Source organism: Homo sapiens, chromosome 6 (genome assembly GCF_000001405.40).
Source record: "Homo sapiens chromosome 6, GRCh38.p14 Primary Assembly".
NCBI classification, from domain to species: Eukaryota; Metazoa; Chordata; class Mammalia; order Primates; family Hominidae; genus Homo; species Homo sapiens.
The window spans coordinates 88731958-88758911 of NC_000006.12; the positions used below are offsets into that span (position 1 = coordinate 88731958).

At 35.3% G+C, this 26954-nt stretch overlaps 1 protein-coding gene across 5 annotated transcripts in view, besides 1 other annotated feature; it reads right to left on the reverse strand.

Annotated features, from left to right (window-relative positions):
- The window catches only part of RNGTT (RNA guanylyltransferase and 5'-phosphatase), a 353722-nt gene that overhangs the window by 122061 nt on the left and 204707 nt on the right, over nt 1-26954 (reverse strand). The gene's annotated exons all lie outside the window — the stretch shown is intronic.
- Nucleotides 11420-11620: a silencer, noted in NCBI's record as "peak5947 fragment used in MPRA reporter construct". NCBI's record gives its function as "represses an SCP1 promoter by STARR-seq MPRAs in K562 erythroleukemia cells {active_cell/tissue: K562}" and the evidence as "EXISTENCE:reporter gene assay evidence [ECO:0000049][PMID:32103011]".

The following is a 26954-nucleotide window of genomic DNA, read 5'->3' on the forward strand; positions in this document are numbered from 1 at the left end:
AACATATATATATATTTACTATTCACTAAGTGGAAGTGAGTCATCATAAAGGTCTTCATCCTCATCATCTTCATGTCAAGTAGGCTGAGGAGATGGAAGAAGAGGAGGGTTGGTCTTGCTGTCTCAGGGGTGGCAGAGGCAGGAGAAAATCCAAGTTAAGTAGACTCACACAGTTCAAACCTGTGTTGCTCAAGGATCAACTGTATAGAGACATTTAAAACTCAACAGCAATAACAAAAAACCTGATCCAAAAATGGACAAAGGATGTGAATAAACATTTCTCCAAAAAAGACATACAAATTGCCAAGAAGCACATGAAAAGTGTTCAAAATCACTACCATTATGGAAATGCAAATCCAAACTACAATGAGATCCCAGTTTACACCCATTAGGATGGCTATTATCAAAAGAACAGAAAACCATGTTGGCAAGGATATGGGCACTGCTGCTGGGAATGTACAATGGTACAGCCACTGCAAAAAACAGTATGGCAGTTCCTTAAAAAATTAAAAATAGAATTGGCTTATGATCCAGATTCCACTTCTGGGTATTTACCCAAAATAACTAAAAACTGTGTGTTAAAGACATATTTGTAAACCCATGCTCATAATAGCATTATTCACAATAGCTAAAATGTGGAAGCAGCCTGAGTGTGCATTGACAAATGAATAAGTAAAATGTGGTATATAGATATAATTGAATATTATTTGGCCTTAAAAAGGAAGGAAATTCTGACATATACCACATCATGAATGAACCTTGAGGATATTATGCTAAATGAAATAAGCCAATTCAAAATCATAGATGGAAAGTAGAAAGCCAGGGGCTGGAGGAGGAAGCAATGGGAAGTCAATGTTTAATGGGTTACAGAGTTTCAGTTTCACAGGATAAAAAAAGTTCTAGAGATGGATGGTTGTGATGGTGGCATAATATTAGGAATGTATTTATACTACTACTGAATTGTACACTTAAAAATGATTAAGATACTAAATTTTACAGTTTTTATATTTTACCACACTAACAAAAAAATGAAGAAAGGAAATACAGTAAGTCAAATTCACTGCAAGAGAAATGAAGAATGCCTATGATAGGCTCATCAGTAGGTTGAAAACAGAACTTGGCAGGGTGCAGCAGTTCACACCTGTAATCCCAGCACTTTGGAAGGCCAAGCTGGGTGGGGATGGCTTGACCTCAGGAGTTTGAGATCAGCCTGGGCAACATGGCAAAACCCCATCTCTACGAAAAATACAAAAATCAGCCAGGTGTTGTGGTGCATCCCTGTAGTCCCAGCTACTTGGAAGAAGGCTGAGGTGGAAGGATTGTTTGAGCCCAGGAGGTTGAGGCTGCAGTGAACCTAATCTGTGCCACTGAAGCTTGAGCAACAGAGAGAGACTCTGTCTTCACCCCCCACCCCCCCTCCAAAAAAAAGAAAAAAGAAATGTCCCAAATGCAAAGAGCAAAAAAAAGAATAGCATATTCCAAGAACTGTGGGATGATTTTAAAAGGTTTAAAAATGTAACTAGAATACCAAAAGGAGAAGAAAAACGACTGAAGCAGAATAAATATAAGTAATAATGGCCAAGAATTTTCCAAAATTAATGATAAATATCAAACTACAGATCCAGGAAGCTAAAAAAGAAAAAAAACAATCACCGAGCAGGATAAAAACTGAAAAAATCTACACACAGGCACATTATATTTAAACTACAAAAAATCAAAGACAAAGAGAAAACCTTAAAGGAAACCAGAGGAAAAACTCCTCTCACCTATAGAGGGTAAGAGTACATAACAAGAATCGCATCAGACTTCTCAGAAATCATGCAAACAAGAAGACAGTGTCTTAAAATTCAAAGTGTTGAAAGGAAAAAAAAAAACCCAACAACCTTGAATTCTGTATCCAGCAAAATTAACCTTCAAAAGGACAAAAATTTTCTCAGACAAAAACTGAAGGAATTCCTTACCAGAAGACCTGTCCTGAAAAAAGTATTAAAAAGAAGTTCTTAACAGAGAGAAAAAAAAGATACAGGTCAGAAACTCAAATCTACATAATGAAACAGAATGTTAAAGAAGGAATAAATGACGGTAATATAAAATATTTTGCTTTTCTTATTCTTAGTCAGAAGTAAATAACTGTCTATTCAAAGTAATAACAGTGATAATGTATGGGGCAATTACAGCATATAGTTCAGTGAAATAAATGACAATAATGTTATAAGGGATGAAAGGGAGGAACTGAGATACTCTGTTACAAGGCACAAGCACTACCCACAAAGCACTGTATTGTTATTAGAAAGCAGATATAGATTACTTGTAAATGTATATTGCAAACCCTAGGACAACCACTTAAAAAAAACTGAAGTATAATTTATATATTAAGAGAAGAGAGAAAATGGAATAATATAAAATGTTCAATTTCAACCAGAGATGTCAGAAAAAGAGAAGATTTTAAAAATGAAAAGAACAAGTACAACAAATAAAAAACAGATATAAACATGGTTGATATTAATCCAACGATATCAAAATTCACTTCAACTGTTAAGGACCTAAACATATTAATTAAAAAACAGAGACTGTCAGAGAAGATTTTTTTTAAAAAGACCCAACTAATATTTTCTATAAGAAACCCATTTTAGACATAAAGATGCAGGTAAGTGAAAAGAGATGGAGAAATACGTACCAAGTTAAAACTAACCAAAAGAAGGTTGGAGTACAGATGGTTCCTGACTTAACGACAGTTGAAATGACAATTTTTCAACACTATGGTGACGTACAAGCAACATGCATTCAGCAGAAAGTATACTTTGAGTACCTATACAACCATTCTGTGTTTCACTTTCACTACAGTATTCAATAAGCTACATGAAATAGTCGACACATTATAAAACAGGCTTTTGTGTTAGATGATTTTGACCATAAGCTAATGCAAGTGCTCTGAACACATTTAAGGCAGGCTAGGCTAAGCTGTGGTGGTTACACAGGTTAGGTGTATTAAATGCATTTTTGACTTAACAGTATTTTCAACTTACAATAAGTATATTGGGAAGTAACCCCACCATAAGCTGAGGAGCATCTGTATTTATTAATTTCAAATGAAATAGACTTCAGAATAGGAAATAACCAGGGATAAAGTGGAGTATTACTTAATGATAAACGGGTCAATTCTCCAAGAAGACATAACAATCCTTAATATGCATGTGCCTAAAAATAGAACATCAAAATATATGAGGCAAAAACTAATGGAATTAAAAGAGAAGCAAATCCACTGTTATGTAGCTAGAAATCTCAACATCCCCTTTTTAGTAACTGATAGATCTAACAGGCAGGAAAGCAGTAAAAATGTTGTTGAGTTGATGAGCAACACTAATCGACTGAATTCAGCTGACATTTATAGAATAATTCATCCAACAATAGCAGAATAAATATTTTTCTCAAACTCTCATGGAACATTCTAAAAGACAGACACATTCTGGGCCACAAAATACACCATAACAAATTTAAGGTTTTTTTCAGATGATAATGGAATTCAACTAGAAGTCAGTAACAGAAAGACGCTGGAAAATCCCAGAATATTTGGAGATTAAACAACTTACTTCAGAATAACACGAGTGTTAAAAAAAAAAAAAAAGAAAGAAAGAAAAAGAAAAAGCAGTCAAGAGAAATGTTAAAATATTTTGAACTAAATTAAAATGAAAATACAAACTTGCCAAAATTTGTGGGATGCAGTCAAAGCAGTGATTTCAGGGAAATTTACAGCATTGAAGGCATTTATTTGAAAAGATCTAAAACCAGAAACAAGCTTCTATTTTTGAAAATTCTAGAGAACGAGCAATTTAACCTTAAAGCACTCAGAAAAAAAGAAATAATAAAAATTAGGGCAGAAATCAATGAACTTGAAAACAGGAACAACAGAGAATATCAATAAAACCAAAGCCTTGGTTATTTGAAAAGATTTTTATAAATTGATAAATCTCTAGCCAGACTAATCAAGAAGAAAAAAACAGAAGGCATACATTTACCAATACCATAAGTGAAAGAAGGGACATCACTATTAATCACATGGATATTAAAAGGATAATAAAAGAACACTAAGAACACTCTATGCTCACTAATTTGATAATTTAGATAAAGTGGATCAATTCTTTGAAAGGCACAAGCTACCAAAAGTCATAGAAGGAGAAACAGATAATCTAACAAGGCCAATATTTATTTTAAAAATTGAACCTATAATTAACCTTTCCAAAAATAAAGCACTAGGCCCAGATATTTTCACTGGGTGTATTATACAAACATTTAAGAAATGACATCAATTTTCTATAATCTGTTTCAGAAAATAGAAGCAGAGAGGATACTTCCTAACTCATTCTATGAGAACATTACCTTAATACCAAAATCAGATAAACATGATAAAGCAAAACTACAGATGAGTGTCTCTCAAGAACATTGTCATAAACTGAATGTGTGCAATGTAGAACTCGCAGTCAATGAAATTGGATATTCACTCAGGAGAATGATAACTAACTTCTCTAATACTTTGTTTAGGTGTCTCCATCATTTAAGAGGAGATACCTAAACAAAGTATTAAAAGAGAAGCTTGGTTACTCCTTATGGCTTATAGTAAAATGCAAGAGAAAGAGAAATAAAGCTACTGTTAGGCAAAAAAGAACCAGAACTTAAAGATGTGGCAAATTCTGTCTGTTCATATTTCAAAAGATGAGGGCTTTCTGAGGAGAACACCAAGGTTGTGCCTGTACTACCACTCAGTAAAGAGACTACGAAATTATCTGAGCAGATACACTGCCAGTGTGAACTGTAAAGGACTGAATGAAGGAAGGCAGACTTCATGGATTCTACAAGATGGAAACATACAACCATCAGGTGGTGAACATGCATTATCCTTCAAGAAAAAGTAACAACACCAAATGTGATTTAGAGATCATCAGAGAGCTGCCATTCTCACCACAGTCTTAAAGGGCAAGGATGATTTCCTTCATGGTTTCAACAAGCTAGGTTATTGCTACCCAGGAGCCTTGGAGGCAGGAGTCTATGGAGGTGGGGCTGCCATCCCAGTGGATCCAGAAGGCAAAGCCAGTTGTTCTGAAAGGCACAGCATGAAATCAAAGAGATTATTTTCAAACCTCAAGATCTAATGGAATTTCCTCGATAGGTTTTGGACTTGTTTGGGACATAACACCCCTTTCTTCCTTCTGATTTCTCCTTCTTAGACGAGATTAGGCACTTCAGGGTGGTATGGCCATAGACTGATTTCTCCTTCTTAGAATGGGAATGTTTATCCTATGCCTGTCCCACCACCATATTTTAGTAGTACTTGCTAGTTTCACAGATTCACAGCTAGAGAGAATTTTGTCTCAGGACGAATCATACCTCGAGTCTTACCCCTTTCCACTTTAGATGATATTTAGATGAGACTTTGAACTTTAGGGTTGATGCTGGAATGAATTAAGACTTGGGATAAAATGAATGTATTTTTCATGTGAGAACGATATAAATTGGGGGAAGGGAGGCAGGGCTGAATGTCTGTCCCCCCTCCCCAAATTCATATGTTGAAGCCCTAACGCCCTTAGCTATATTTGAAAATACGGCCTCTTACGAAGTAATTAAGAGTAAATGAGGTCACAAGGGTGGGGTCCTGATACAATAGGATTAGAAGTCTTATAAGAAAAGACAGCAGAGAGTGTTTTCCTCCTCCCCTTGTGCCATGTGAATACACAGTAAGAAGAGAGCATCCGCGACTCAAGGGGCAGAACCCTTGCCAAACACCAACCCTGCTGTAATCTTGAAATTTCAGTCTCTAGAACTATAAGAAAATAGATTTCTGTTGTTTAAGGCACCCAGTCTATGGTATTTTGTTATGGTAGCTCAAGGAGACTAAGACAAACATGAATGCAAATATCCTCAACAAATTATTACCAATGTTAAATCCAACAATGTATAAAAAGAATTGTACAGTACCCTAAGAAGGGGAGAGTGTAACTTTTCAGTGTTTAAGTGTAGGCTTCACATAGTGATTTCCTTCCAAAGAGTACAGTATGAAAAGGAGGAAGAAATGGGTTATCTTTAAAATGGAGAAAACTCACAAACCCTACTTTAGCCAGGTGGTCAAGGTCAACATCAAAAATCATAAAATCATGTTCATAGTATGTACTCTTGATACAGTGTGATAGAAATCGCACTTCATCTGTGATCTTCTTTCCCTAAACCCATACCCCAAGTCTGATTATGAGAAAAACAAGAGACAAATTCTAAATGAGGAGCATCCTATAATACATTTGAGCAGTGCTTCTCACAACTGGCAATGTCATTAAAAACGCGGAAAGTATGAGAAAATGTCACAGCCAAGAGTACCCTAAGGAGATATGACAACTAAATGTAATGCAGTATTCTAGATGGGATCCTGGAAAAGAAAAAGGACATCAAGTAAAAACTAAGGAAATCTGAATAAGCTACAGACCTTAGTTAAAAATAACACACCAAGTCTGGCAAACATGTGAAACCCTGTCTCTACCAAATAATACAAAAATTAGCTGGGCATGGTGGCACATGCCTGTAAGTCCTAGCTACTCAGAAGGCTGAGGCAAGAGAATCTCTTGAACCTGGCAGGCAGAGGTTGCAGTGAGCCAAGATGGCACCACTGTACTCCAGCCTGGGTGACAGAGTGAGACCCCGTCTCAAAACATAAATAAATAAATAATAACATACCAATATTGGTTCATTAATTGTAATAAATGTGCCATGTTAATAATAGGGTACACTGTTTGTGGGGGGCCCAAGAGGTGTATATGGGAACTTTCTGTTCTATTAATATCTACTCAATTTTTCTGTAAATTTAAAACTGTTCTGGAAACTAAAGTCTATAAATAAAATACACACACACACACACACACACACACACACCCCTTCCAAAACAGGAAGAAATAATGCATTCACATAAAAGAAATTTTAAAATGAATGATGTATAAATAATTACTAAATTAAAATTCTTAATGTAAAATAATTATATCTTAAAATTATTCCTTACTTTAGAAAACTGACACCAATTTATACTTTATGTTATTAATGTATGTGATGCAATTATATAAAGAAGATAAAAAAACTTTCTCAAATTTTCACTGTAGCCAACAGAAATCATTAAAAAGCTTGATTAAATGAGATAATGTATATAAACTACATACAAGGGAAATCAAGCATATTAGAAGCATTAAACACACAAATGATACTATTCTTATTATTAACAAGCTGGTAAGACAAAAGGTGAAGCAAATTTATGGAACCAAGAACTCTTCTAAGAAGCTTATTAAATTAGAGGATTCTTCATGTTGGGCCAATACCCAGCAATTCACAGTTTAAACACTTCCAGCTGGTAAGTGTTTTTTTGAGGCAAGCAAGGGAAATGAAGAACAAAGGGAGAAGGCAAAACTAAGAGAAAACAGCTTTCCTGTAACACTAAAGAAATTCAAAAGCATCATTAAATAAATACAGAAACACAGAAAAACATCACTGGAATAATAGAGCAGAAAAATTTTAAGTAAACTTATGTTTATGTATGAAAACAAGAAAGTAATTAGAGAGCTTTTGCTTTTAGGAACTATTTTCTAACATGTGACAAAGACAGGCTCAAAAAATATCTCATCACATACAGAACAGATTGAAAATACTTTAAAATGTTAAAAATGTTTATAATTCTGTCAGTTCAAATTTCACACTTTGGAATTAGGATATATTTCTCCCGTGTAACTGGTGTGAAAAAAATTATATATATATATATATATATATATATATATATATATATATATATATATATATGTTAACACATGCTCCATTTATCTAAACTAACATTGTTTAATTTTATTATACCAAGCAAATAGAAAATTTGAACTACTATATGAAGCTCCCATGAGGATTTATCCTTTAGATATAATTTATGGAATAGCAGAATTAATTTTTTAAAGTAATACATAAAATATGTCTACTAATTAATACCATCTTAGAGGAATCAATAAAATTCATTTATCAGTTATCTTCCATTCTGCTGACACCAAAGATATCATCCTACTCTTCTTCCAGAGAAACAAATTTTTCCTAAAATCACAATGTTCCTTTTTCAGAAGCAGGAAGAGAAAATTCTAAGAGAAGAAAGTAAAGGAATTCTGTGAAACAAGTAGGAAAGAATACTCAGGAGAAAGCAAGAGGGCTACTCTAGAGTTTACACCTGCTCAGAAAGGGAACAGCAGAATTAAAAGCGATCAAAAAATGAAAACGGGATCAGGCATGGTGGCTCATGCCTTTAATCCTAGCACTTTGGGGGGGCCGAGGCAGGAGAATCGCTTGAGCCCAGAATTTGAGACCAGCATGGACAACATAGTAAGACCTCGTCTCTACAAAAAATTAAAAAATTAGCCAAGCATAGTAGCACACACCTGTGGTCCCAGCTACTCGAGAGGCTGAGGTAAAGAGGATCACTTGAGTCTGGGAGGTCAAGGCTGCAGTGAGCTGTGATCAAATCACTGCACTCCAGCCTGGGTAACAGACACCCTGTCTCAAAAAAACAAAAAAACAAGAAAGGAAAGAAAGAGAAAAAAGAAAAGAATAAGAATAAGATGCAGCCATAAAAATGAATGAGATCATGTCCTTTGCAGGGACATGGATGAAGCTGGAAGCCATCACCCTCAGCAAACTAACACAGGAACAGAAAACCAAACACTGCATGTTCTCACTCATAAGTGGAAGGTGAACAATGAGAACACATGGACACAAGGAGGGGAACAACACACACCAAGGCCTGTTGAGGGGTGGAGGACGAGGGGAGGGAACGTAGGCAAGGATGGGTCAATAGGTGCTGCAAACTACCATGGCACACATATACCTATGTAACAAACCTGCACGTTCTGCACACGCATTCCGGAACTTAAAGTAAAATTTTTAAAAAAAAGAAATGAAATGACTTTTTAGTAATAGCCATTCTGACTGGTATGAGATGCTGGTTAGGCTGCAGAGAAAATGGAACACTTGTACACTGTTGATGAGAACGTAAATTAGTTTGACCATCATGGAAAATAGTTTGGAGATTTCTGAAAGAACTTAAAACAGAATCATCATTTGACCCAGCAATCCCCTTACTGGGTATATATCTAAAGAAAAGACATTGTTTTACCAAAAAGACACATGCACTCACTTGTTCATCGTGGCACTATTCACAATAACAATGACATGGAATCGACATAGGTGCCCATCAACAGTGGATTCGATAAAGAAAATGTGGTACACATACACCATGGAATACTACGCAGCCATAAAAAAGAAGGAAATCATGTCCTTTGCAGCGACATGGATATTGCTGAAGGCCATTATTCTAAATGTGAGAACAGAAAACCGAATACCACGTGTTCTCACTTATAAGTGGGAGCTAAACACTGGGTACTCATGGACATAAAGATGGTAACCATAGACAATGGGGGACTCAAGGGAAGGGAGAAAGAGGGGAAAGGGATGCAAAACTGTTGAGTACTATGCTCAGTACCTGGGTGACAAGATCAATTATACCCCAAACCTCAGCATCACACAATATACCCCATGTTACAAACCTGCACAATTACCTCCTGAATGTAAAATAAAAGTTAAAATTATTTTCAAAAATTTTTAAATTTAAAATAAATGAAATGAAAAACTGCTCCATATTACAAAGCTGAAAGATGATGTGACATCACAATCCAACATCCAGCAATGAAGTCTTCGAAAGCACATTTTCAAGAGATTTAATGAGTAATTAGATACAAAAAATTATTAATAGTGGTTATATGTGGGTAATGGGTAGGGGGCAGACTTTTCCTTTTCATGGCTCTGAACTTTTGTTTTCTTTCTCCATCTCCTCATAAATATATACTAGCTTTATAATTGCAAATAACCCCAAATAATTATCGACTGGTAGGACGACCTGATCTTTCCGTTGCTATTAGTAGGATCGTGTGTTCTTTTCATAAGGATCTAGATCATAAAAATAACCTAAATCTAAAACATTACAAGAAGAAAGCTGAAACATACATACTTCATTAACTGATGTTAAAAAACATTTATTAAATGCATTTTCTTTTACAGCATGATGACACTGCACTGTAAAAACAAGAGGTCCTGAATTCTATGGGCATATGGTGTAAAGCAAAAATGCTGATTCAGACAAATAGGACATATACACAGCAAAGCCAAAACAAACAATACTTTAACATGTATCGGATAAAGGTAGAAAGTTGAGCATTTACCTTCCAAAAAGGAGGGAAGGTCAATAGCCCAAAGAGAGAAATCACAGACAACTGAGAGGAAATGACTTTTTGTTTAAAAGCTAATCAGTTCTGTTCAAATATATTTAAAATATGCAATGGAAAGGCATTTCTTTTAAGAATGTTTTTAAAAGACCTAAAACAACTAGCTCATATCATATCTGTTTCAAAAATTATTTGAAGTTTACACATACAGTTACATGACAAGTTAACATATCATGATAGCTTTTTAAATCATTGCCATCAATAATCTGTTCTTCTTTCATCTTTCCTTTTGTAATCTCAAAGGAAAAGTTGCGAGACTACGTTGGGGGAAAGAAAGGCTTGTTAGAAGTCACGGCATGCTCTGATTGTGACAAAGAGTGCTGTGGCTAAGTGACCCAGATCTATTGACAAGGCTTGGAAGAGTTAGTCCCAGGTAGGAGAGAAAATTTACCAGTAAGCACTAAATGAATTCCAATATTAGATTACATTACAATAGCTAACTGTTGAAGTTTGGCAGCATTCACTTAAAGTGTAAAGGTGATTTTAAAAACTTTTCAAAGGGTGCTTATGAGTAGCAATTAGAGAGAAGTTTTCTAGAATTATAGTTCGGAAGAAAAATAGAATGTTACCCCTATTATTTATATTTACATGCAAGGCAAATGCATAGGTGGCTTGCTAAGTCACAGTTTAAGACGTCACCTTTCATCTGGAGAAAAAGATATGGATTACAGAAGCAATGTCTCAGAAGAAATAGGCATTACAGGGCTAGTCCTACAATTTCCAAATGTGAAGATACGCTATATTTCCCAAAGCTAGATCTGAAATAATAACATAAGAAGTAAACATTAATTTTTGTATTAAAAATGCACAAAAGGGCAGTGAAGACTCTTCACTCAAATAAAACACTGTATTGTTCATGGAGCAGTTTGAAAACCATGACTATGATAGAAAAGGAGTAAGTTTTGGAGTATAACAAGGATTTGTTTGAATACTAATTCCTATACTTAAGACTTATGTGATTTTAGACAAGTTCCTGAACCACTTTAAAGAAGTTTACTTGTTTTTTTCTCCAATTTTTTTTATTACGGTAAAATATACAGAACAAAATGTAGCATCTTAACCACTTTTAAGTGAACAGTTCGGTGGTATTAAATACATTCATAATGTCATACAACCATCACCACCATTCATCTCCATAAGTTTTGTTTTGTTTTGTTTTGTAGAACTGAAACTCTACACCTATGAAAAATGACTTCCCATTCCCCACTCCCTCCAGCCCCTGGTGACCACCATTCTACTTCCTGTCTCTAGGCATCTCATATAAATGGAATCACACAGTACTTGTCTTTTTGTATCTGGCTTATTTCATTTTGCATAATGTCCTGAAGGTTCATTCACAATGTAGCATATGTCAGAATTTCCTATCTTTTTAAGGTTGAATAATATTCTATTGTATGTATATACCACATTTTGCTTAACCATTCATCTACAGACACTATATCCCTTCCACATTTTAGCTATTGTGAATAATGCTGCTATAAACATGAGGGTATAAATCTCTTTGAAACCTCATTTTCAGAAGCAGAATTGCTGGATCATATGATAATTCTATTTTTAATTTTTTGAGGAATGACCATACTGTTTTCCACAGCAGCCATGCCAATAGTTTACTTATTTTTAATGAAGATAGCAACAACATCTACTTTATAGGTTTAGTATGATGAATTGAAATGATAAATAAAAATGGCTTAGTATAAAGCCTAAAAACATTTTGTTGGTACTCTTCACCTTTTTTCCCCCAAAGAAATAAAAATACCATATTTAAGCTACATTTTATGTTGAATTTATATTTGCATTTGTCACTATACAATAAATTTCATTATCAAACAAGCTTTCATGAGTTCATCATCTCCTGACTATATGATTTAACATAAGGAAATAAAACAGCTTTGTCAACAACTAGTAATCATTCTAAAATAGTTGGTAAGAATAGGATTGTTCTTATTACTCCTTTTTATTTTTCTTTTATTTATTTATTTATTTTTTTGAGACAGAGTTTTGCTCTTGTCATCCAGGCTGGAGTGCAGTGGCTTGATCTTGGCTCACTGCAACCTCCACCTCCCGGGTTTAAGCGATTCTCCCACCTCAGCCTCCAGAGTAGCTAAGACTACAGGCGCGCACCAGCACGCCCGGCTAATTTTTGTATTTTTAGTAGAGATGAGGTTTCACCATGTTGGCCAAGATATTCTCGATCTCCTGACCTTGTGATCTATGCACCTCAACCTCTCAAAGTGCTGGTATAACAGGCATGAGCCACCGTGCCCGGCCTGTTCTTACTACTCTTTATAAATACAGAAGACAATAGAAGAAGAGAAAACTAATCATTACATTAGCTCTTTTCCTCTAGAAAACCTGATTTCTGCTATTACATATGAATAGTTTTTTATGCTATGATATGAGGTTGATTCTTAATAAGACAAAGAATTTCAATGCATTGTTATTATAACATATACTAAACAAGATGAGTAATTTAGGAGAAAGTAGCTTAAAATCTCAGGATTATAATCATCTGCTATCATGACAATTAAAATGAGATAAATTTCAAGTATTTGGGAAGTTAACGAAACATTACAAATATGATGCTTAATATAAATAACAAGCTAAGGAAATTCATCAAATTATGAATATTTTTGGTTACAAATAAAACCAACTTATTGTTTCTAAGTATATATAGTTCTAATCAGTTTAGAGGTTAAAACAAAGTATTTTTCCTGGAAATAAAAAATTACCATAAGGAACACTGCAGTGATAATTTTTGCACGCAGGATCTGCTAATAGAAGCTACAACTAGTAGGAGAAAGTTTGAGGAGAAACAGAATATTTGCATACACTCTCCAAGAACCTATTAACTAGAAAAAGGAAAGCAGCAACTTTAAAGAAGAGAAACTCCGCATATACCACCTTTAACAGTGATGAAGGTTAACATTACCAGTAATGAGACATATCTATATCATCTACTCTGATATGACACACTGAAAACAGCACATCATTTCTGTGGTATTCTTGCAAAAAGTGCGTAACCTCAATCTAATTATGAGAAAGTACCAGACAAAGCCAAATCGAGGTATTGGGAATCAAGTTCGAGGATTCCCTAGAAGAACTCAAAGGACTCAGATGTTGCACTCACAGTTACAAGTTATTACAACAAAAGGATGCACAGAAAATCAGCAAAGGGAAAAGACACATGGGGTGATACATATTACACTGATGTTGAAATGACAACATTTTAGATATATTGAGTTAAATAAAATATGTTATTGGAATTAATTTCACCTGTTTCTACTTTTTATTATGGTTACTAGAAAAATTTAATTACATGTGTGACTCACATATTTCTATAGAAGAGTGCCGGTCTAAATACATTAGAAGTTACAAAATGGTGATAGTCTATTATTCCTTCTTCATTACATGGCTGGAAAACTTTCATAAAAAGAAACTTACCATTTGGCTATCTGAAGTATGTGTCGTATTAAAAAAAAAAAGCAGAAGAAAAAAAGGCTAGATTCTTGCCCTGGCTTTCAAAATAATAACTTGGCCCCCTTATATACTTCAAATATAACTGTACCAGTTATCAATTTTAATTGTGGAAGTTATCAATTTACTGCCTCTTATTTCCAAAGCTACCCTCTTGCCCTGCTTTGTGATACAAGATCAGGACCCTGTAACCCTGCTCCTTTGCCAGCAGGTACAAATGTCAGGCTTTGTGAGTACAGAGCAGTGAAGGGACACTACAAGGGCATAGCCTGGGTTCTGGTTTGGATGTTTTTCTATGATGCAGTTGTCAGCTAAATATTGTGTGGGAAGCCTGGTGGCACTCACCTGCAAGGCTCTAGCAGACCAGCTCTAGCCTGCCGGTATTCTATGGCAAATTTCCCCACCACCAAAGAGTGGCTTCTAGCAGACCAACTCTGATTTTCCAACATTTTCCAGCAAGTTTCTTCACAACCAACTGGCTGCTCCCTGTGGTCCAGCTGTGGCCTGCCACTCCCCTCTTACCCAGTTTTCAGATACAAGTCAGTCCCAACACCCAAAGGCCCCTGATGCAAGGGGAGGCCAGGTCCCCTTGCAGAAAGACCCTGTAGTTTTGCCACAAGTATATGCTTTAAATTATGTACCAAATCATCCCCAGAAGGGCCTATTGCTATCTACTAGAGCAGCGGTCCTCAACCTTTTTGGCACCAGGAACCAGTTTTATGTAAGATGATTTTTCCACAAATGTTGGTGGGGGAATGCTTTGGGGAAGATTTCATGTCAAATCATCAGGCATTAGTTAGATTCTCATAAGGAGCACGCAACTTAGATCCCTTGCATGAGCAGTTCACGATGGGGTTTGTGCTCCTATGAGAATCTAATACCGCCACTGATCTGACAGGAGGTAGAGCTCAGGTGTTAATGCTTGCTCCTCCGCCACTTACCTCCTGCTGTTGCAGCTTGGTTCTAACAGGCCACAGACCTATACTGGTCTGGCCTGGGGGTTGGGCACCCCTGTACTAGAATGATTATGTCATGGAGAAAAATTAATATCCAGACCTTTCAGAAATACTCTATACTGATTCCAGGGAAGTGATGCCAACTCTTGGGGCACAACACGCTACTATGACACAACACATCAAAGTGAAGACTTAAAGAAATCAGGTGATGGGTGAAGTCTTAACACAAGTTTGACCCATAGCAGACCCAGTCAGTCCACAGACTCACCCTGTGGTACTTTCTCCTATTCCTGAATGTATAATTGGAATAGACATACTTAATAACCGGCAGAATCCCCATAGGCACTCTCTTACACATGGGTTAAGGGTCATTATAGTAGAAAGAGATAAAGAAAAGCTCTAGGAACTTCCTTTGCCTGGCAAAATAGTAATCCAAAAGCAATATTGTGTTGGGGCAGGGGGTGGGCATCAAAATTTGAAAGAAGCAGGAATGGTGATATCTATCACATTCCCATTTAATTATCAGTCCGTCCTGCACATACATACATCATATAAATCTCAAATGGCTGTGAACAATTATAAACCTCAACCTTTTTCCCAAACCACTCATCCCACATTCTTCCCTATGGAATTAATCATGGCTCCTCTTTCTCAAATCTGTCAGCTCAATATACCACTTACGCTTTAATCTAGGAAGCAGAACCATCCAGTGATATAGAATCAGGAGTTTATTATAAGAGTTAGGCCTTATACTACTGTGGTAGAAGCGAGGGAGTAAAGATCCTGAAGGAGATAGTTGGAGGATCAGAAAAATACTTCTAACCAGAGACCATTAATGGGAGCTTGTGAAGAAGTCTATAAAAGCCTGTATCCCCGTGTTTGATGGTGAGCCTAAAGTCTATGACAGCAGGGCAGACAGTTGGGAAGAAAGCCTGGACATAAAATAGGACAAACTGCAATGCCTGAGAACAAACTGGAACTGATGGAGACAAACTGGAACCCAAGTCTGTTTTCAATCTTATCTAAACCTGATGCTGTAGATGACCTGCAGAAGAATCTGTTTCCCTTTCCTATGGAGCTATACATTCATTTGGCCCATGACTCACAGAAGCTAACAGGTAAGCCAACAGAGCAATGATTATGTATATATCTGAATGTAATGACTGCTGTTTTATTTTTGCCTTCCAAGTATCACACATTTCTCAAGGCTAGCTATCATCTAGTACCACACAAGGAAGAGAATTCTGGAAAACGCAATTTTAGTTTAACTAAACTAACACAGTAAAGAAAATCACTACACTACACCTTCTGGATCTTTTGATCCAGAATCTGACTGTTTCTCACCATTACTAATGTTACCATCCTAGTCACAAGAACTCTTGCCTGGATTCCTACAATGAACTCTTTCCTGACCCTTTCCTATCCAAGAGGGATTCTCAAAGGGAAATTAAAAGAAAAAAAAAGTCAAATCGAATGTCAGTTATCATCCTGAAACCCAGCAATGCCTCCTACTTCCCTCAGAGTATGAGCTGAAGCCCTAACAGTAGCCATAAGATGAGATAATACAGGGCCCGATCTCTTCTACTTCTCTCTCCCTCCTTCACTTAGTCATCTCTTGCCACACAGGCTCCAAGGCCTATACAGGATCTTTTGCTCCAGCTATTTCTTCCATCTGGTGCTTCTCCCTCATATCTACTATCTGCTTGGCTAACTCCCTCACTTTCTTCAACTATTTGCTCAAATCTTACTTTATCAATGGGACTTAAAATATTTTAATTTGTCACTCCTCCCCTTCAAACTGGAACACTCAACCCCTTATTATACTTAATTTTTTTACAAATACTGATTTAGCTTTCAACATATTATCTAATTTACTTATTTGTTATGTTTATTGTCTGTCTCTCTTAAATAAAATGTAAGTTCCATGAATCAGGGATCTGATTTTGCATGAATATATCACAAGCTCCTAAAATAGTAACTGCAAATACAGAAAATATTTATTTGTTTAACCAATTAATCAAGTGAAATGCCGGAAGCAAAGAAGAAAAAAAATGGGGAAAAGTAATATTTGAAGAAATAATAGCAGGAAAAGCTCAGAAATGATGAAAAACAATGTAATGCACTTTCCACAAGCCTAATAAGTTCCAGTTGGGGAAAAAAAAAATCCATACCGAGGCTCATCATAGTAAATCTACAGTACATCAAATACAAAGATTGAATCTTAAAAACAAGAACAAAGAAAAGAAAGGTTACCTTTCTTTTGGGGTAAGAAGACAACTATACGAACAGCTGATTTGTCGACAGCAACAAGGAAAGTCAGAAGATACTGGAATAAAACTGTCTATATGCTGAAGAAAAAATAACTGTTTACTTAGAATTCAATATCCAATAAATAGGATAGAATAAAGACTGTCACTAAAACAACTGAACTTGCTACCAGCAGAGCCAAAAGAAATGTTAAAGAATGTAACTACTGGCAGAAAATCTGAAGTAATAGAAGGAACACACAGCAAAAGAAGTTGTAAATATGTAGGAAAAGCAATCAAATATTGACTGTATGTAACAAAAATAATAAGGTATTGTGGGCTATAATAGAAGAAATACAAACGTAACTTGGAAAGGATTACATTTCTTGGAAAAGTATAAATGTTAACTTTAGATTTAAAGAGTTAGATGTGCGTGCTAAAATTTCTAGGGTAATCACCAAGAAAACTCCAACATTTCAAAGTATGACTTTAAATTGAGCAGGGAAAAAAAAATAAGGAAAAAAATCAAAATAAAAGGCAAGAAAGAGGGAAAAGTATAGAAAAAGTAGGACAAATAACACAAAATAAGATGGCAAAAATTCATTACTTATGATTAATTAAGTGTAAATGGATGAAATGCTCCATTTATGAAGACTGTCAATGAGTAACAACAATAAAAAATAAATCCAGATAAATGCTGTTCACAAGAGATCTAAATATAAGGAGAGAAATACTGAAAGCTAAAAAATAAAACAATGTATACCAAGAGTATTAGTTTACCAAAACTTTCATAGCAAACCACAACAAAGTGGACGGCTTAAAACAACAAAAATTTATTATGTCACAGTTCTGGAGGCCAGATGTCTGATAATCAAGATGTAGACAGGACCATGTTCCCTCCAACACCTGTAGGGAAGAATGCTTTCTTGCCTCTTCCTAATTACTGGTGGTTCACTGGCAATCCTTTGTGTTTCTTGACGTGCAGCTATAGCACTTCAGTCTCTGCCTCCATAGTCACAAGACATTCTCCCCTCATGTATAATCTCTCTGTGTCTTCCTTCTTTATAAGGACATGAGTCATTGGATTAAAGGCCCATCCTACTCCAGTATGAGCTCATCTTAACTTACATCTTAATTACACCTGCAACAAACCTATTTCCAAATAGGGTCACATTCACAGGTACCAGGGGTTAGGATTTCAACATACCTTTCTGAGAGACACAATTCAACCCACTACACCAGGCAAATACTAAATATTAATGAAAAAGAAGGGGGTTGGGGTGGGAGATAGCAGCGTTCTAGTAATGTCAAACAATGTAGTAACTAGTGAGAGCAAGGGTAATATGGTAAGACCAGTTAGAGGCTACCACATTAGTCCAGGCAATATAATGCAAGTTTGAATAACGATCATGTCTACAGAACAGAGGCAAGTCAATAGATTTAAGCAGTATCTAGGAAGCAAAACTGACAGTACCTCATTGGATCGTCAGGTGAGGGAGGCAAAGATGGTCCACAGGTTTCTGGCTTATGAAACTGGTTGGAATATGTTGACAGTCTCTATCTCCTAGCCAGTTCCTTCTAAAATACAGATAATATCAATTCCATTTACTACTGTTCACTACCTCTCCAGGGTAAGTCCTAATTCCTTACTCTGGCTTTCCTGATCTATCACAGTGTGATCCTGGCCTGATTTATTTACTTCCATTAACTCTAGTTATTAGATAAACATTCCCGAGTTCCACGCCTTCTTTCAGGCTATGCTTTCTGTCTTGAATGTCATTCCTACATATTTATAAAGTTTTATTCAAGTGAACCATCTTCTCTGGAACCTTCTTGGTCCTATTACTAACAATGACAATGTTTTCATATTTTACCTTACATTTTTTCTGTTTTATATGTGGAATATATAAAATTGTCTAGGCTCCTTCACTAACCTTACTTACTCTAATAGTATAGCATTTGGCACAGTAATAGTTATTTATATCTGCCATCCTAGTCAGGTTTTCACTCCTCCAGGATAGGGCTTATCCATCGTTTTATTCACAGCACCTAACAATGTGGTTTGCACATAGATGGTTTTCAATAAATGCTTACTGAATAGTGATGAATCAGTTATAACTAGCACTGCTACTTAGAACAATGAAAGTTTAAAAGTAAATTGAAGACAAGTAAGCCAGTCCATTTTTTTCTTTTCCATAAAATAGATTCTGAAAAAGATGAATAAAGGTCTTTGTTCCTTAGTAATGAATTCACGTAATTTACAGTTAATTTATTCTACACTCCCTTGAGACCATGTGATATGGTCTATGCCTTCTACAATGAACCCACTTAAATGCTCATGCAATTTTTAAATCTAAATACTACATATTCCAGCTTGACTTATAAATATTAGAACACTACCAAAAAGAAGTAAATTTGATGAATATTTAAATAACTCATGTAACTGCATAGTGGTCAGTAAAAATATTCTTGATACTAACATATTAACTATAGTAATTTAGAGTATCAATTTCAAACAATTAAATGAAAATACAGTGTACTGTTCAAAAGGCCACATTACCTGGACTTCATTTGATGACTGAAAACATGTTTCTGAAACCTGTAGTGGCTTCCATTTATCAATATGAACATAAAGCATCTTTGAGCTGTAAATACTGAAACCCTCTCATTGGTAAGAGGTTTCTATTGAAAGAATACATGGTAATAATTTAATATAAATACAACTGTTAAATCTGTAGTGTTTATATTAGGCAATGCTGGTATGTTATATGGGCATTTAAAAAATCTACAGCTTAAATTGTTATTATACAGTAAAAAGCATTTCCTACAATTAAGGTTAATTTTTTTAAACAGAGGTCATAGATAATAGGTGCCAATATAATAAAATCAAAATCAACCACTAGCTCCACCACTATATGTATGTAGCTCTGCAAAAATCTTTTGTCATAATTGTTCCTATAATCCCATCATTCCAAACTTGGAAGTCTAGTTTGCTAAGATAGTTTTCTGATGTACACAAAGAATAGAGTAACCTCTTCCATACCCTCCCCCCATATTCTCTCCCTTGAGAGTCAAAGCTTAATATGAGTTCCATTTTCCAGAGATAAAAGGACTGCATTAACAATGATGTGCCCTAGCTTTCTTCATTTTATAATAAATTACCATATTTATATTTTGAAGCTGTCATATGCTAGAGGATATTAAATATCCTCTCATCATAATTAACTCTTTAAACCAAATTAAATGACTTGGTTCAAAACAGACTGTGCAAGTTAAAGAAATATAATTCTATTACTAATTATTTCACAATTATTTTAATAATCAGAGCTATTTAATTTATTCCTCACTGGTTTTAATTAAGAAATGTACAGTGGCTAAAAAGCTCAAATCTTTCCTTCTTTATCCTGAGGATATAAACAAGTATTTGAACTTGGAGTGTCTAGCAATAAAAATATAGGAATTTCATAAATACTTTAGGCTAAATCTTAATAGAGCAAACTATAACAAATTGCTAATTTAAAAAATTCCACCTACAATTATATCAAATATAAGCCACCAGACTACAATATAACTGCTTCATTTTACCAAGGCTTAGTAATATTTTTACTATAAACAATTGTTCTTGTAGTAGACTAAAGCAATGTCATGAAAAATACTCTTTTTGAATATATATACAATACAAACTTAGGAAGACAAATATGTTTTTAGAAGTGGGAATTCTCCACATTTCAAGATTTCACCATCTAAACTTAATTGTACATTTTAAAATAACTTAAAGAATGTAACTGGATTATCTGTAAACCAAAGGAATGCTTGAGGGGATGGACACCCCATTCTCCATGATGTACTTATTTCATATTGCATGCCTGTATCAAAACATCTCATGTACCTCATAAATATAAACACCTACTATGTACCCACAAAAATTTTAAAAAATAAAAAAAGATTTCATAATCTAAACGTTTCTGATGATCCTACAGATATTATCAAGATTCTAAAAGCAAAAAATGTCTTTATATACTCTTTGGAGAAAAAGCTTCTTGTAAAAATAAATATAAATAGAATTAATATTTCAAATTAACTTTTAAAAAAACAAATCAGTGAAAGCTGCTGTAATGTTATCTTTTATTTCCCCCTAAAATTAAGGTAATTATATATTTTTGCAAATTACACCATAATGGAAACATTCCTGTTTAGGAAGACATAAGAAGAAATAATGGTTATGAAAAAATAATAAACTTACTCCTTACCAACATAATCTAAGGCCAGGCACAGTGGCTCACACCTAGCACTTTGGGAGGTTGAGGCAGGAGGACTGCTTGAGCCTAGGAGTTGAGAACAGCCTAGGCAACACAGTGAGACCCTATCTCTACAAAAATTTAAAAATTAGCCATGTGTGGTGGCATGTGCCTGTAGTCCCAGCTACTCAGGAGCCCAAAGGCAGGAGGACTGCTGGAGCCTGGGAGGTTGAGGCTGCAGTGAGCTGTGTTCACACCACTGCACTCTAGCCTAGGCAACAGAGTGAGACCCCTGTCTCAAAAAAAAAAAAAATTATATAAAACTACTTGAACTGATAGAAAAGTTCTGAAAAAGGAATAAAGCTGGGTATGAAATGACTGTCAATACCAATTCCAATTAAAATACAGAAAAGTTTAAATAATTGTTAAATATTAATCCACCCAAAATGCAACCGTTTAAATAGTAATGATTTAAATAATTGTTAAAAATAGAATTATATAATTAAAATATAAATGCAAGAAAACTTTTTGAAAGAAAATAAAAACACAATATACATGATTTTATCTAAAATCATAGATTATACTGACAAAGAGCAGCAAAAACAGAGGAGTAGCTGAATACTCTGAGCTTCTTACTAGGGACAGGGTTTCACTCTAGATTCAGATATTTAGAAAGTACGGGTTAAAAAGGCCTTGACAAATGTAAGGATGATTACAAATAGAAGTTAAAATAGAACATATGGCATTAGACCATAAAGAAAATCTTTATTCTGCCCATCTCCTCCCTAGAAGGGAATTGTTCAGAACATTCTTGTCATAATTTATAAAATAAGAAAAGAAACAATAAAGTCAAAAAAGAGAAGACAAAGACTACTTGGAAATTAAAAATAAACTATTAAGGATCCTAGGAAGATGATAAATCTAAACATGTCTGACTTCTCCTCATACCCAACTCCAAAATATCAGCCTGTGAATCCAAGTGTCTACTGAGTAAAGTGAGGTATGAAATTCGAGGGCTTCCTAGCAGGGGAAATGATTGAGAAGACCCTAAAGACAAAGATTGGAAAATTAGCAAATCCTGAGAAGAGTACAGGCCACTGAAATCTAAAAACCCTAGAGATCAGGTCAACATTGGCCCCAGGTCATGTGCCTGACCTTCCTATGGGCTGAACATATTTGAAGCCTAAGATGAAACACTTTACAGAGTAGAGGATGTAGGGAACATTTCTCCAGTTATGATCCACCAAGATAAAGAACACATATATTTCCTTCTTGTGTAGACTGCCACCACTTAGAGCACTCCAAAAACCAGATTTGAGCCCCAGTGAGCCAATAAGGAAAATGGGAATAAAGTAACTTGTTGGGAACAGGCACCCAAATCTGGCCATAAACTGGCCCCTAAACTGGCCATAAACAAAATGTCTGCAGCACTGTGACATGTTCGTGATGGCCATGATGCCCCCGCTGAAGGCTGTGGGTTTACTGGAATGAGGTCAAGGAACACCTGGCCTACCCAGGGAGGAAAACCACTTAAAGGCGTTCTTAAACCACAAACAATATCATGAGTGATCTGTGCCTTAAGGACATGTTCCTGCTGCAGATAACTAGCCAGACCCATCCCTTTATTTTGGCCCATTCCTTTGTTTCCCATAAGGAATACTTTTAGTTAATCTATAATCTATAGAAACAATGCTCATCACTGGCTTGCTGTCAATAAATATATGGGTAAATCTCTGTTCGAGGCTCTCAGCTCTGAAAGTTATGAGACCCCTGATTTCCCCACTCCACACTCTATATTTCTGTGTGTGTCTTTAATTTCTCTAGCGCCACTGGGTTGGGGTCTCCATGACCGAGCTGGTCTTGGCAGAAACCTGTAAAGGAGCCAAAAGGCAATTAGAAGGAGAAAAGAACTGCACCCCAAGAATTCTATATCCAGGTAAGACATGATTTGCCTGTCTGGAAAAAGGAAGACGTTAGCAGTTAGGCAAAAAATTCAGATTAAAAATCTATATATTCCCATCTGAGAAAATTACTCCAAAGAACAAATGAATGTGAACAAGAAAGAGAAAATGAAGAAAAGGAAAAAGTGGTAGGTGACAAATCTTGCAGTATATAAATGCCATTAAATTTAAATTGAACCCAATTTAAATTTAGATCCAAACAATTTAGATCCAAACAAAACAAGATCCAAACAAAAAAATTCTTGAAATAAAAGTGACATTCATGTCTGTAAGAGAAATTCATAAAACAAACAAACAACAACGACAAAAAAAAACTACTAAGTTTTTTCAGTAATACCTGTAGGGATTGGGTTGGGGAAAATGTTCCAGTAAAATTTTCCAATAAAAGCTAGGGGGGAATGGGTGGTGAGAATAAAAGCATGCCAAAGACTTCTAAAGTAAGAAGAAAGGTAAGGTATTAGAAACTATTCTAAAATTTCTATATGATGAGGGGAGGATGAAAAGAACATCTTGAGGCTGGGCATAGTGGATCACACCTGTAATCCCAGGACTTTGGGAGGCCAAGGCAGGTGCATCACGAGGTCAGGAGCTCAAGACGAGCCTGAACAAGATGGTGAAACCCCATCTCTACTAAAAATGCAAAAATTAGCCAGGCATGGTGGCGGGCGCCTGTAATCTCAGCTACTTAGGAGGCTGAGGCAGAGAACTGCTTGAACCTGGGAGGCAGAGGGTGCAGTGAGCCAAGATTACACCACTGCACTCCAGCCTGGCCAACAGAGTGAGACTCCGTCTCAAAAAAAAAAAAAAAAAAAAAAAAAGAACATCTTGGTGGGGGAGAGTTGGTACTTTATTTTCAAGTAATAACAGAGAAATATATCTGATTATGAATATAAGGAAAGGAAAGGTAACCAATAATATAATGAAAAGTTAATAGACAGTTCAGGTTAACAAAGAGGAAAATGCAACTAATACCAATTATCACACAGAAACAATTTTTTAAAAAGGAAAGTTAAAGAGGTAAAATTAGGCCGGGCTTGGTGGCTCATGTCTGTAATCCCAGCACTTTAGGAGGCCGAGGCAGGGGGAACACAAGATCAGGAGTTCAAGACCAGCCTGGCCAACACGGTGAAACCCCATCTCTACTAAAAATACAAAAATCAGCCAGGCGTGACGGTGCGCGCCTGTAATCCCAGCTACTCGGGAGACTGAGGCAGGAGAATCACTTGAACCAGGGCGGCGGAGGTTGCAGTGAGCCAAGATCATGCCACTGCATGCCAGCCTGGGTGACAGAGTGAGACTCCATCTCAAGCAAACAAAAAAGAGGTAAAATTAATAAACAAAGTAGAAGGAATAAAGCGACATACTTTAGCATACAAATGTTGAATGGACTAAATTCTTGTGTTAAAAATAAGAGGCTACAGACTGAGTTAAATAAAACCAACTATATTTTCAAGTACACACTTAGAAAGTAAAGGAATTTTTCCAATGAAGGATTGAGTTTGATGCTTGAAAATAATGACTATATTGACTACATACAAATTATGCTTTATAATTACATTCTTAATAGATAACCTCCAGGTTTTAACAAGACAGCATCAAATCAGGAAAACTCAAAAAACATGGCTTTGGGGTTTACTCTAGTTTGTTCACTTGGAGCTAAGTGCTAGCAACGTCGGGGAAACTGTCCAGAGTGAAGGTCAAGGAAAACGCTGGATGGACAGGTTGGGAGAGTGAAGGTTATTAGCTTTTTATGACTCTTGTATCCTCAGACTAAAACCCTAAAAAAATTACACAATTTTATCACAAAAAAACAAATTGTCTTTAATGAACCACTTTTCAGTTTTAACAACTAACATCCACTATGCCACACTGCTACATTACCAACTAATTTCACAAAAGGACTAGTCATCAAACACGTAACCACACACTGATACACTATAAATGTATATCAGTTACTGGTCCCTGAGGATATGTGATCATGTATTTGCTATGTCCGAAAACCAGAGGATCTCAGCATGATAGTTTTGGCAATGACCTACCACAGTGAAACAAAAAGGATGGAGATACATGAATGGGAGAAAAGATCCACAACAAATTCAAGGAAAAGCAAGCAGGACAGGTAGTATTAGTATCAAGCTAGGATGAATTTAGGATTAAAAGCAATAAAAAGAAGTACATGATTTAATAACAAAAAGCATGATTTGGGTGACAGAAATATCAATTGTATATCTGGAGAAATCAAACCTAGTATCTAAATACAAAGGTATTAAATATGCAAAGCAAACTTAATTATAATGTAAGGCTTCAAGTATCTCTTATATGGGGTAGAGCTAGTAAAGAGAGTAAAGGAATTTACTAATATAAACTTTAATACTTAATTGCATAATCAAAGAGAAAATGTTGTATTCTTTAAATAGTAAAAATAATTTCACTGTTGTTATGTCTAAGAAATATCCAGAAAAGACAACATATGATGTTATAGACAAGATTAACAAAATGTTTTCAAAAGATTTTACAGACTAAATTTTCTGATTAAATTCAATGAAAGTAGGAACAAATAACAAAACATAACAAAATACATTTGGTTGAAAAGACAAAGACATATTTTGAAGTCACACTATAAGATTTGAAGTCACACTATAAGTTTTGACAGGCCAACCATGTAGCTAAATTTTTTGAAAGTTAATTCTAAACTCTTTGAAATTTTCCAACCTCAGATTCCAAAAAGCAACTTTTACTCCTATTGTTACATGTTTAAGTAACAGTCTTAGGCAATCTTCATCTGTCATATAAGCATTATCTTAAGTTTCAGTATACCATACATCAGACACATGGTTATTTAAGTGATTTAAAAGATTTCAAAACTATTTTTAAATGATTTCATATCTGTTTTTTCTTCTGTGCTTCAAATTCAGTTATCTCAGATTGTTTTTACTTATTTGATAGTCTTTGTCTCTATATTGCTTCATTTTAAAAGGTCAATGCTCCCTCCTCGTAAGAGAGAGAAAAACAAAAAGCCCTTAAGTGATTAACGTTTGGCAAAAGTGTTTGTGAATTGTTCCTTAATAATTACAATTTTTGATAAGAAATTACCAAAATTAATTTTATAACTGCTGTGATAATTGTAATTCAGAAATTCAATTTAGAAAATAATCACTGAATACACTCCAGTGCCCGGTACACAGAAAGGAATAAATGAACTAACGCTCAACCAAGAAGGGGATAGTCAAGTACACAAGGCAAGCCTCAGAGCTATTATACTTTCGTCGAAAGGTGTCTATTGCTCCAGGTAGTTTTTGACCATCTGAAATTATGTATATTTTAAGTAAAAATTCCTCAGATTTTGTTTGATGAAACTGACATATTTGAATAATACAGAGACCCTTTAAAAAACACAGAATGTTCCACATTTGGGATTTGTTTAATGCTTCCTCATTATCAGATTAGAGCTAGATACCCATAGTCAGAATGCTAGGTATAGTACTGAACTAGTACATAATGTTCATTTTATCCTCACTGCTGATGTTAACTCTGATAAGCTAGTAAGGGGTTGTCCAATTTCTCAACTCTCTAGTCTATTATTTTGCCCTTGCAAGTTATAAGCAATCCACAGAAAGACATTTACAACCATGAAAATATCTTATAAAAATTTCCCTCCCAGACTTAGCATCCATTGATTATTCTTTTTTATTTATTTTTGCTGTATTTTATTTATTTATTTTTTTATTATACTTTAAGTTCTGGG